A 14,181-nucleotide genomic window follows, 5' to 3' on the forward strand; every position below is an offset into this window, starting at 1 on the left:
TGGTGCAATGCAAAACACACAGCATCACTTTCCTGGTAATCCTGCCAAAGACACAAAATCTGAACTTAATCACAAAGGAACATCAAATATACCTGAATTGAAAGACATCCTACAAAATAATTGGCCTCTACTTTTCAAAAATGTCAAGGTCATGGAGGACTAAGAAAGACTGAAGAACCATTACGGATTGAAGAAGACTAAAGAGATTACATGCTGATTAAGAGCAATAATTTTAAATAATATTTTAAATAATTTTAAAATATCTAATCCAGGATTACATGTTGCATTTAATCAACATGTAATATTTAAAAATTATTTTTCTATTACTGTGTAGATATTATTAAGGTAACTAGCAAATGTTGAATGAGGTCTATGGATTAGATAATAATATTGCCTTGCTATTAATCTCCTGATTTTGACATCTGTTTGGTGGTTATGTAAGAGAAGGTCTTTGTTCTTAGGAATTACATACTGAAATATTGAGGAGTAAAAGAGCATATGCCTGCAACTTACTCTCATACATATAAAAGCAAATGTGGCAAATGTTAAACTTTGGGGAATTCGAACAAAGAGTATCCAGTAGTTCTTGGTATAACTTTTAAAACTTTTTTCTAAGTTTGAAATTATTTCAAAATAAAAAATTATTTACAAAAATAGTGCATTTTCTTTCCTACCATAATATCTATATTTTAAATGTGAGCCTTAGCTTTTTTTTTTTTTTAAATCACTCTTTGGGACCTCAATAGTGTTTATTCAATGTATATTTTTGGCATCTAAGTGCTAGAGTCTAGGGATGTAGAGGTGAACTAGAAAAAATTTAGCCTTGTCCACATGAAGTTTATAATCTAGTGGGGAAATCAACTATTGCACAAATAATTATGTAAGTGTAGTGATTATGTGATTCATTTCTGCAGCAACATATACACTTCACAAAGTCTTGCATATGGGCAAACATTATTATATTCCTTCCTTATGAAAATATGAACTCGATCTCACCTTTTTTTTTTTCTGAAGGTCCTCTCTGTCTCACAATGACACTACAACCCCAGGAAGCCATTAAGAGTCCACCCAACTGATTCCTTCTTTCACTGTGTGTTTCTGTTGGAGGGATGAGCATTAAAGAGGGAAACGGTGGTGGTTGTTCTTTTGAAAGCTAAAAAACTTTCCATCTTGAAAAGCGTTAAAGTCTGCTGCAGAAGCAGGGCACTTTTTCAAACCTCCTGTTCATTACAGAGATACACATCTAAGGAACTTTGGGCCATGTTGTGGGGTGACTTTTGAAATTCAAACAAAAGAGAGTTTGTTACAGAGCTCGAAAAGGCAGTTCTGAAAGCTTCATTAATTCTAATAATAACTTCCAATTAATTCATTCGTCACATCCTGATTTTCTGAAATCATTCATTTTCTAAGAGGCTACCTTTAAGTGAAATTAAGAATGCTATGATTTTAATTGATCCAACCTAAGCTAACCATTTAGCCATTTATTAAAATGTAAAACAGAAGCCTGGGCCCAGGTCTGAGATGAGCAATTTGCAATAACACCCTTCATACATGCAGCCTTTGGAATGAGGAATCCTGACACTCCCGGGGGATATTAAGGATCTAGGGATAAATAGAATTACACCAGGTGCTTCTCCTGGCTTGGGGCCCAAGGCATGATAACAGAGGGGATATCAGTGAGGCCATAATGGGAACACATCCAACATTCTCCAGTTCAACCCGCCCAGTGAAAATATAGCTCTCTAGTAGGAGTGAGGGGGTGGAGACATGGGGATGGAGATGAGAATGAGGATGTGTGGCGTGGGGTTTGGAAGTGTGGGTTGTTCAGGAAGCTTCCCTCCTGCCACTGTAGACCTTGTTAACTGCTGTGGGTCATTAGCAGTCCCTCACTCTGTGTCTGGGGTATGTCTGCTTCCTAGGGTGCTGCCTCTCTGCTCAGACCTGGCCCCCTAGGGCCTGCCTTGCCATGGCTATGGTACCTCAGAACTATTCTGGAATTAGCTGATGTTTTCACTGCACCTCCTTGCCGCCCAACCTCTGGCACTTGGCCCCGTCAACTATCATGCAAAGTTTTTAGCTCTTAAACGCAGGTGTCTCTCCATTTTTGGAAAACGAATCACAGAAATACCTCAATCCACAAACTAATAAATCCAGAGAGGAGGCTCTGTTCTATAAATGGATTTCCCAGAAAGCCTTTCTGAAAACTGAGCTTTCCTGATTAGCAGAGGCAGATTTACCATGAAGCCAACAAAGCTTACATGACATCACTCATTTTCAGAGGCCCCTCCAATGCCACGGGAGGTTCCGTAATAATGCGTTTCCATGGTCCTATTTTAACAAATTTTCAAAGGCATAGTATCTTAACTGTAACTGCTTATAGCTACTGTCTGCTTCCCCTACATGCCCCTTTCCCTGTGTCCATGGTTTTTGGTGTCTGGGAGCAATTTCAGGATCCAGGTAAAGGAAGCATGAGTTGGGTCTAATCACATTTAGTCTGGGTTTAGTGGGACATTTTTATGTGCCTCCAATTCAGTTTGATCTATAGTTATTGCTAGACATCCTAGTGTGGGAAAAGCCTCTCAGGAATGTCCCTACCAACCATATATGGACTCCCTTCAGACTCACGACAGGAAGAGACTACACTCGTAAGTATGTAAGTAATGGAGGACAAACATGCACGAAGAAAAACTGTCCTGGCTGGGCCAAGGCCCTTGTGAAAGGAAGACTCCTTCCAGCCAGGTCGCACTTTCCCCACCAAGGAAAGCCCTTGTCTCCTAGGTGTGGAATTCTAGAAGCTTCTTTCCTTTCAAGGAGGCAGGAAGCTCCTTTGCCTCCTCTTCACTGGAGTTACAATCGGCCCTTGGCAGATTCTCTGTGCTGGGCTAGTAGAGACCACAGCTCCTCTTCTTGAGGCTGTAGGACCCATTTCTAAAAAACTAAATTTTTGTGAATAAAATATTTAAATATCTTGAGAGATCTCAATACTTAAAAGGATCTCAGGGAGACTCTTTCCACAAAAAGAATACGTGCTTCCAAATTACTCTGCTATGAGTTCTAGGGTTACAAATAATAGCTAAAATATTTTGGACTCTTGCTTTGTGCCAGGTACTGTGTTAAGTGTATTTAGTGCACATTATTTAATCTGCTTATTAAAGCAAAGGGAAAATCATTAAAATTATCCCAAATTTTAGAGATGAGTTAGTTGGGGCTTATTGAGGTTATGTAACCTACTAAGTAAGGGCCTCCCAGTTCTGAAGAGGTAGAAGCAATCTTCAAAAGTTAGGTTCTTTTGAGTTTTAGGGACTGCTTTTTCTTTAATTTAATATTGTCTTGTAATTATGTAAAATGTGAACATGGTTCTCAAGTCAAATCTATAAAAATATGCCTCTATTCTTTTCCCCTCATGCTAGTTCATTCTGCCCCATAAGTAATCTCTTTTTAAAATGATTTATCCTTCTAATTTTGAAAAAATATTCAAGCAAATACCTTTTTTAGAGAAATGATAGCGCACTTTTCTTCATTTTGTTAAATCTGAAGAACATAAAACCAAATGACGCATTTGAACCTAAATTGTGTAGTTTAAGCCTATGATAAAGTGACTTTAAAACATAGATACTTGACTAATTTGATTACTTTAGAAGACACCTGGAAATGTCTTCTATGACTGTTTTGAAAATTGGTAAAATTTTTAAGAAGAATCAAGACAGGCCAGGCGTGGTAGCTCGCACCTGTAATCCCAGCACTTTGGGAGGCCGAGGCACGTGGATCACCTGAGGTCAGGAGTTCAAGACAAGCCTGGCCAACATGGTGAAACCCCGTCTCTACCAAAAATACAAAAATTAGCTGGGCGTGGTGGCAGGCACCTGTAATCCCAGCTACTTGGGAGGCTGAGACATGAGAACTGCCTGAACCCAGGAGGTAGAGGTTGCAGTGAGCCAAGATCACATCACTGCACTCCAGCCTGGGGGTCAAGAGCCAAACTCCATCTCAAAATAAATAAATAAATAAATAAATAAAAGAAGAATAAAGACTTTATCCTGCCATTCCTAAAAAAAGTACTCCAATTATATGTGTGTGTGTTTACTTATTTACTTACATAAAAATATATATTTACTTATGTATTTTAATTGTACAAACTATTGACAAGAAGTTTCTCTTCATAGAAGTATTTCAGCTCATATAAAAAAGAATGAGAATCAGAGGAGTATCACTTTGCAACCCCTATGAATTACTCTGCATAGGCAATGATCACCAACAGATACTAATATCACAAAAAGGAGACAGCTAGATATTACCAACTGCACAATGAAAGTAAACACAACCACCTATAGTCTTGCTAAAAAAAAAAAAAAATCAAACCTGATTGTCATCAAGCCTCGTGGCCTCACTATCAGTTACAGAAACTACAAGAAAAAGGGAACATGTTAAACAACACGTTGGGGACATAATCAGCAAATTCCAGGCCATGGGAAATTCTATAGGAAAAACAACTGGTTTTTTTGACAAGTAAATTGCAAGGAATAAAAAATGAGATGAAAAGGAAAACCCATGAATTAAAAAAAAGAGACATAATCAATTTTAATGTATGGATCTTATTTGGGTTCTGATTCTAACAAACAGTCCAAAAATATTTTTAGGACCATAGGGAATTCACAGCAATTACTGAATGGGTATTTGATAAAAATCAAGTTCAGTTTTTCAATATGTTAATGTTATTGTGGGTTTGTCGATTCTTTATATTTTAGACCTACATACGGAAATATTTACGGGTGAAATATTATGTTGTCTGGGATTTGTTCCAAAATAATTCACCGGGGGAGAGGAGTGGCTAGAAATATGGATGAAACAAGATTGACCTTGTGTTTATAATTTTTGAATCAGAATGATGAGCACATAGGAATTTCTTATATTACTCTCCCTGTTTTTACGTGTTTGAAAATCTTCATACAACAAATTTTTTTATTTTTTGTTTTATTTATTTATTTACTTTGAGACAGAACCTTGCTCTATTGCCCAGGCTGGAGTGCAGTGGCATGATCACAGCTCACTGCAGCCTGTACCTCCCAGGATCAAGCAATCCTCCTGCCTCAGCCTCCCAAGTAGCTGGGACTACAGGTGTGCACCACCACACCCTGCTAATTTTTTGTTTTTGTTAGAGACGGAGTCTCACTATGTTGCCCTGTATGGTCTCAAATTCCTGGGCTCAAGTGATCTTTCCACCTCAGTCTCCCAAAGTGCTGGGATTACAGGCATGAGCCCAAAACTTTTTAAAGACTTAAAAAATTGGCTGGGCGTGGTGGCTCACGCCTGTAATCCCAGCACTTTGGGAGGCCGAAGTGGGTGGATCACGAGGTCAGGAGATCGAGACCATCCTGGCTAACACGGTGAAACCCCGTCTCTTTTTTTTTTTTTTTTTTGAGACGGAGTCTTGCTCTGTCACCCAGGCTGGAGTGCAGTGGCACGATCTTGGCTCACTGCAAGCTCTGCCTCCCGGGTTCACGCCATTCTCCTGCCTCAGCCTCCCGAGTAGCTGGGACCACAGGCGCCCGCCACCATGCCTGGCTAATTTTTTGTAGTTTTAGTAGAGACGGGGTTTCACCGTGTTAGCCAGGATGGTCTCGATCTCCTGACCTTGTGATCCGCCCACCTCGGCCTCCCAAAGTGCTGGGATTACAGGCTTGAGCCACAGCGCCCGGCCAAAACCCCGTCTCTACTAAAAAGACAAAAAAATTAGCCGGGCACGGTGGCGGGCGCCTGTAGTCCCAGCTACTCGGGAGGCTGAGGCAGGAGAATGGCGTGAACCCAGAAGGCGGAGCTTGCAGTGAGCAGAGATGGCCCCGCTGCACTCCAGCCAGGGTGACAGAGCGAGACTCCGTCTCAAAAAAAAAAAAAAAAAAAATTATGCTTTTAAACTCTAAGTTGATCCCATCTCATCACCCACCTATTAACCCACAAATATAGGGTGATTAATTTTCTCTCAGTTTTGAAAAGCAAAATTTTATCAGTATTATTAATATATCCAAATCATTCCTCACAAATTGTAACAACTTTCCTCCTCTTTCCTGTTCATTGAACATGATTTACCCTCACTCCAGTTAAAATAACACATCATTCCCCTCCTAACCCAGCCAAGAGAATTGAGAGATTCCCAAACACATTCTCAACTCCTTAATGCTAGAAAGGTGCTGCTAAACTGAGGGAAGCTGGAGATAATGGATACCAGAAGCTTTTCTCTATTCCTGTTAATGTGTTCCCCTTAGAGAAACTTAACAATAATTTTTTAACTGAGTGAAAATGGTCCCGTAAGTGATTCTGGTGGACATGGAGATGCGCCCCCCACTTGTTGCCCCAGTTGGTGGGCATGCTGTCAGTAGACAGCTTCAGAGATTGCCTCAGTTGTGGAGAGATGCCTTCTCCAAGGTTATGCCCTGCCAGGGGCAGCTCACATCATGCAGTGTGGCATGTGGTGACTTGGCCATAGTGACTCAATGCAAGACAACTCTTGACAGGCTGCTCAGCTCCAGGGTGGTGGTTGGGGGTGTCAGTTAAGGCTGCAACACAAGTGGACGTCTCCTCTGTCCACTCCTGTTTCTTTCCATTCCCTTCCACAGCTATTGCCCCCATGGGTGTTCTTGATGCACATCTGCACACTGCACTCTGTCTCGGAGTCACTCTCTGAAGAACCCACATGGCAACCGCAACCACGCACTGAAATGCCTCGCATTACTGGCAACCGAGCAACTTCATGAAGGCCTTAGTTATTCATGTCTTTGCTTAGTAGCTCAAAACACTGAGGTTGTCTTGAAAAAAATCCAAGTCGCCTATTCTTAAAAGAAGTTGACCGCTTATTGTTTTGTGGCCTGTGGACACTAGCAAAGTAGTTTGTCCTGAACACTTAGGATCAGTTGGACTCATGTCACAGCATCTTAGACCTGACCAGTGATCCCAGAGTGGGGTAGGCCTTTCTTGGTGCTCTTTGATGGATATTGATGTTGGCAAGTGCTTCACTCACCAGCTCATGCATGTGGATCCCAAGATTCTAGGGATATAGCAATCCCTTTATGGATGCAAGTTCATCCTTAAGAGAAACTCTAGGCCTCACACATATGTTTACAAATTATTCGACATTGCCAGAAGTTTCACATTGAGTGAACTTGAAGTGCAAATCATTCCAATCTTGTTGCAGCTGTCATGTTTTCCCTGTAACTGGGATTGTGAGACACAATGAGTATCTGGGTTGTCAGCAATCAGGGAGAGGAAATGCCATGGCTGGTTTATTTAGTGTAGTGTATTTGCTGGTTTAATTTTAGTTGAGATGAATATGCATAAGGGCTTTCGTAGCTTCATTCATTATTTTGGTCCCTTTTCACACAAGATCTTCTGTTCTTCAACCGTGAATTCTATTAATAAAGAGTTTCTAAGAGATGTAACCATCATGGTCAGAGAGGGAATAATGTACAAATCTTGACCATTTTCATTTGCAGATGATTTCATATTTGATCTTTATATCAGAGCCAATGGTTTGGGTTTTTTTTCTTTTTCCCAAATGGCACCTTCAGGATGGTAAGGGATATTTCTTTGCCTGAGTGTTCTAATTAACAGTAGTTATAAAAGTAAAGCAGAATTTAAAAGAATGAAATTCTGAAATATGTTATAACATGGATGAACTTTGAAAACATGCTGAGTGGAAGAAGCCAGATACAAAAAGGACAAATATTTTATTATTCCCCTTACATGAGATACCTATAGTGGTCAAATTTATAGAGACGGAAAGTAGAATTGTGCTTACCAGGGGTTGGGGTGAAGAGAGAATGGGGAAATTCTCGGCCATTATTGTTTTACAAACCCATTATTGTTTAATGGGTACAGAATTTCAGTTTGGGAAGATAAAAATGTTCTGGAGATGGATGGTGGTGATGGTTGTACAACAATCTGAATATACCTAATACCACAGAACTGTACACTTAAAATAGTTAAATGATAAATTTTATGTCATATATATTTTACCACAATTTTTTTAAAAAGTAAAGCAGAAGCTCAGAAGCGCAGTTAGTGTTGCAGCACCTGAGGGCTTTGGGAGTTCCACAGACCTAGATCTGAGTCCCTGCTTTGCCACTCAGTAGTAGTGAGTGAACTTGGTGAAGTCAACTAGCCACCTGTGGCCTCGTCAATAAAATGGGGCTACCCCACATGGTTGTTGGAAGGATTAAATGAGATAGTGTAGGTGATGCCCTTGTCACAGAGCCTGGCACCTGGTGAGTGCTCAGTAAATGCTGGCTGGGATTAGGAAGCAGAATGCAAAGTGGTTAAACCACCTGGAATTGGACCACTTAATGATGAATCCTGGCAATTTACTTCTCACCATCAGAAGGATTGGGCAAATTACTTGACCTCTCTGTGCCCCAACTGTCTCATTTGCAAAGTAGACAAAATGATAGGCCCACCTCAGAGCATTGTTATAAGGATTACAGCATTTCCATTAATGAACACATGCATTAACATGTGAAGTGCTCAAAAACGTGCCTAGCAAGCATTATTTAAATATTCACTTTTATTGTTAGGAGCAATTCTGAGGTAATAGACAAAAATGATCAAATAGTCTTATCAGAATACACACACCAAGTATTTATCTAAGGTAATTATGATTTGCCTTGTATTGCCTCATTTTAATTGTTGTTTGATATGGTTTGGATTTTTGTCCCCACCCAAATCTCATGTCGATTTGTAATCTCCGAGTTGGAGGAGGGGCCTGGTGGGAGGTGATTGGATCATGGGGGCAGATTTCCCCTTTGATGTTCTTGTGATAGTGAGTTCTCATGACATCTGGTTGTTCAAAAGTGTGTAGCACCTGCCCCCTCGCTCTCTTCCTCCTGCTCCAGCTATGTAAAACATTCCTCCTTCCTCTTTGCCTTCTGCCATGATTACAAGTTTTCTGAGGCCTCCACAGCCATGCTTCCTGTACAGCCTGGGGAACCGTGCATCAGTTAAACCTCTTTTCTTTATAAATTACCCAGACTCAGGTAGTTCTTTATAGCAATGCAAGAACAGACTAATACATTGTTGCTACGGTCAGTTAGCACTTCTCAGATGCTTACTATGTCCCAGGCGCTCTGCAAAGCACTGCTGAAGCATTGCCTTTTTAAATCCTCTCAACAGTCCCCATTTAACAAGACACAGAGCAGATCAGCAGCTTGCCCAAGGATCAGCCAACTAGAACCACCATGTGTCTGACTCCAGATTACATCACTCCACTCTACCTCTTACAACAGTCTGCAGCTGTTGCCAATGAAAACGCCTGTACAATAGAATGCAAAAAATAAATAAATAAAGCCTCTGGGATGGGGGCCAACAATTGAGACTGGAACCTGGGATAAAATTGTTATTGCATCAAGCATTAATTTAGAACTAAGCCTCCCAGAGACCAAGGCAAAATGTCATATGGTGTCTGACTTTTAAAGAGAAGCCCTGCTCTTCCCTTCCCTCACCCCAAACCTGGCCCACTCCTACACATTTACTCATCGTTAAAATCTAGGAGCAATCTACATTTGCTAGGCACTTTTCAGTTTTTCAAAATATATACTTGTTCCTGACACCAAAGTCTCAGCTAAACTGATAGCGTGGATTCTCATAGGAGGAATACTGAGTGACCTGATCAACAATATCTTCATGAGAGTTGGTGCAGGGGTTGTGTGACCACAATCCCAGTGACTACTCTTGGTGTCAGCCCTCGATAAAGGCAGGCAGCAGAGTGTTCAGTCTGTGGGCCCTAGCAGGAGTAGGTAACAGTGGATCATAGGGCTCTTTGCCCGACAATGAACTACTGTGATCCATTCAACTGCAAGTAACCATTAACACCGTTGTGTGGAAAATCATGCATTGCTTTATACTGTACTCTTTTTTTTTTTTTTTTTTGAGATGGAGTCTCGCTCTAGTGCCCAGGCTGGAGTGCAGTGGCGCGATCTTGGCTCACTGCAAGCTCTGCCTCCTGGGTTTACACCATTCTCCTGCCTCAGCCTCCTGAGTAGCTGGGACTACAGGCTCCCGCCACCACATCCTGCTAATTTTTTGTATTTTTAGTAGAGACGGGGTTTCACTGTGTTAGCCAGGATGGTCGCAATCTCCTGACCTTATGATCCGCCTGTCTCGGCCTCCCAAAGTGCTGGGATTACAGGCGTGAGCCACCGCGCCCGGCCTATACTGTACGCTTATATGGGACAAGGAATAGCAGGTCCAAATATTTAAGAAAAAATTACAGAAGAAATTAAAATTTAAAATGATACCCATTGGCCTAATGTATTTTCCTGAAAACTGGGGGAAATACAGAAGCACTAGATTTTAGTAGGAGAACATCTTGGTACAGCTCACAGAAAAGTAGTGATCACAAAATAAGGTTACATGTGAGAGGACAAAGTTCCTTAATACCTCCATTATTTTTCATGCGGGGCGGTCCCTGAAGTGCGGAGGTCAAAGCAGTCCACGGGTAAGGAGGAACCGGCCAAGTTGGAGGAGGCAGAGCTGTGAGCTTGCTGCCCTTCCAATCCCTAGAGTAGGGCAGGGGCCACCAGCTCTCAAAAGTCAGCATTCTTCCATAGAAAGGATTCCTTTCTGTGCCATAGGCTAAGCATTCTATTTCTTACTCTGCCACTGGGCCTAACAGCAGTGAGCTAATATGTTTTATGAATTTCTAAGACAGAGCAGCTTAATGCTGCCTTTCCCAAACTTTGATCAAGGAAAATCTGTATTGGCAGCACATCTATTAATATCTATATAACAGGGCTCCTCACGACACACTGATCTAATGTAATGAGCAGACAATGGTGAATAAACTTTGGCCCATGACCAAGGGAAAGGAAACATAATCCTTGTGTTGTGCTTTTATCTTGCTTTCTAGTTTAAATGTTGGTTTCTCTTTAAATGAGGCCCTCTGATTTACAGGAGTCCTTTGTGCAAGAAAAGCGTATTTGCATTTCAAAGTCTTACATTTCCCAATACAGCCAACTTCTGAGAACACATTTTACTGTGATAAAGACCTTTCTGAGATTAGAAAGCTAAACAATAGTACAGTGCATTAAAAAAGTTCTTTACTATGGAATTAGCCATGAAAGACCCATAAATACTTAGACTATCTTCTTTGTCTGTGAATCCATTGGACAACTACATAGTCAGCCTGCTAAGGAAATACGTGACCATCCATATGTGGGTGGGTTAATGGGTAGTAACTGTAGGGCATGTATCTTCCAGGAATATTAACTATTCTCCAGCTGGGTGACTTTGACAAATCACTTCCCCTACATGCATCTTAATTTGACATCTGAAAAATGAGGGTGTTGGATTACAGCATTTCCAAACTTCTCCAAAGATAAGAATCCCTGGGGTAGTGGTTAAATATTGAGATTACTAAACCCTCCATGGAAATTCTGATGAAATGGATCTGGGTTGGAGCCCAATAACCTGGTTTTTGTTTGTTTTTTAGTTGCTTGCTTCTATGCTTGCTTGCTTGTTTGCTTTTAAACAGGAGCTTTAGGTTCCTATCTTCAAGGAAGTTGGGGAAACCTTGACTAGATGACTGAGAGACTTTCCAACCCTGCCATTCTGTAATTCTATGATTCTGCGAGGTAGGCCATCCACCAGCCCCCTCACTAGGAGTTAAAATAAGATGTTGAGAAATTTTTCTTTTGTAGGTTCTCGCCGATGATGGAGGGACATCTGGTTAAGTCTGTATGAAATAGATATCTACTTCTCATAAGTCAACAACACCATAAGCCCTGTGGGAAGCCACAAACTATAGTTGTTTTGTGTTTATTAGAACTGTGAGGGTTCTTCCCATAAACCCTTCTGACAGATTCTAAACTGGTGTCCCACACAGGGTCCTAGTGTCTGTTCTCTTCCCCAAACCTCACATTTACAACTTTTGACATCCAGATGGTTTCAGAACCTCATAACTCCACTAATGGCTCCCGAGGTAAGATGGTGACCTGTGGTCAAATCCCAAACTCCTACATGCACCAAACCTGCTCGCTTCCTCTTGCTTCTCTGGAAGCCAGTCGGTTCCTGAGACTGACCCAACCATTTGTGAGAATTGGTTGGGAAAATTAGGGCTGCTTTTCCAACCAATCCCTTGAGACAATCTGAAGGCAAAGGGCTAACGGTTCCTGCGAGTTTAGCTTCTCTAAAAGAAAACCTAGACTAGGATGCTCCCAAACAGTCATTTCTATTTGAAGTTTAAACAATTTTAAGATGCACCTACACTTGTTCAAATCAATGATGCAAGTGGGAAGGAAAGCAGAAAATTTTAGAATCTCTTTGAACATCTTTGAAAACAGTAGTCATCAGTGTGAGAGAAAAGTTGACACTGGAGAAAGGAAATGCAGACATAAGATTGTGAGGTTACGTTAAAACCCTGACCCCTGAATTTTAAATGGAAGTGTTGGTATGAACCCATGATATATTTGATCTTAAAATATATATATATATATCTCCTAGCTCTGTCCACTGAAAAGGACTAGAAGCAAATGATCAACCCAGTAGAATGAGCACAGCGAATACTCATTGTAATCTCTAAATCCTATTTTCCAGCTGGATATGGTGGTTCATGCCTGTAATCCCAGCACTTTGGGAGGCTGAAGTGGAGAGATTGTTTGAGCCCAGGAGTTAGAGGCTGCAGCAAGCTATGAGGGCGCCACTATACTCCAGCCCAGATGACAGAGACAGACCAGACCCTGTTTCTAAAAATAAATAAATAAATCCTATTTTCCACCAAAAGCAGCCAGGGCTTTTTGGAGAAATAGCTGATTCCAAATCTGGGGCAGAAAATTGCAAGATGACCCTGGATTGCTTTGTCATATTAGAAAGCAAGAAAACTATCAAAGACCAGTAGGTTTGTTTCAGGAAGACTCAGCAGCTAATTTAAACAGCATCCCACTAGCCAAAGATGGAATAATTTGAACATCAATAAGAATAATCACTGCAATGTATTTAAACCATCAAATGTATTAAAAATCCATGAATTTATTTCAATGCAATTAAAGTTTCATTGGCCAAAAAAAAAAAAAAAAATGCATTGGTTACATTCGGAGGATCCTAGGGAAACACCTTATTATTTTGAATATTGGTAAATAAAGGAAAACAATCAAGCACTTAGTCTCATTCCTGTGCAATCTATATTTCAGCCAAATAGTGAATAAAGAGAAAGCTTTTTTTACAGAGTATTTTTGCTAAATAAATTATAAAGGAATGATATAATTTGACTATCATCAATTTGCATTTCCTAATGGATATGGGTAGGAATCATTGATAGCTGCTATTAATAATATCACACAAGAAAGGAGACAATCAAACATTATGTATGTACCTCCTGATGGAAGTACACAGCATCTATGGAGTATTCTCACCAAAAAAGCTTAAATTGAAATCTGATCAAGCCTCTAGATCTATTTAAAAATTTATAGGACATGCAGGGGTCAGAGGAAGATGAAATCAGCAAAAGACAGACTATATGGAAAACACTATGACATTGGTCCAGTTTCTCCAATGAATAGGTTGCAAGGAAAGAAACAAAAAAAGAAAATAGTTGAAGCCTGTAAATTAAAACAGACTTAAACATATCAGCTGTACAATACATGCATTTTATTTGGGTCCTGATTCTAACTAAAAATAGTAAAACAATTATGAGACTTTCTTGTATTCAGGAAAGCTAAATACAGGCTGGATATATAACAATATTAAGGACTGTTCATTGTTTGGTTGGTTTGTTCGTTGGTTTTGTTTTGTTTTCAGACAGGGTCTTGCTTTGTTGCCCAGGCTGGAATGCAATCTGTGATCTCGGCTCACTGCAGCCTCAACCTCCTAAGCTCAAGCGATCATCCCACCTCAGCCTCCCGAGTAGCTGGGACTACAGCATGAACCACTACACTCAGCTAAGTTTTTGTAGAGACTGGGTCTTGCTATGTTGCTGGTCTCAAACTCCTGGGTTCAAACGATCTGCCCGCCTTGGCCTCCCAAAGTCTCCCAAAGTGCTGGCATTACAGGTGTGAACCACCGCACCAGTTTTTTTTGTTTGCTTGCTTGTTTTTGTTTTTGTTTTTTAGAAACAGGTTCTCCCTCTGTAACTCAAGATGGAGTGCAGTGGCACAATCATGACTCACTGCAGCCTCAACTTTCTGAGCTCAAGCGATCCACCCT

The 14,181-nt window shown here is 40.7% G+C and overlaps 1 annotated feature.

Annotated features, from left to right (window-relative positions):
• Window positions 11,196–11,490: a silencer, noted in NCBI's record as "tiled region #10636; K562 Repressive non-DNase unmatched - State 22:ReprW". NCBI's record gives its function as "represses a minimal TATA promoter and a strong SV40 promoter by Sharpr-MPRA in K562 cells {active_cell/tissue: K562}" and the evidence as "EXISTENCE:reporter gene assay evidence [ECO:0000049][PMID:27701403]".

Source organism: Homo sapiens, chromosome 1 (assembly GCF_000001405.40).
Source record: "Homo sapiens chromosome 1, GRCh38.p14 Primary Assembly".
Classification (NCBI taxonomy): Eukaryota; Metazoa; Chordata; class Mammalia; order Primates; family Hominidae; genus Homo; species Homo sapiens.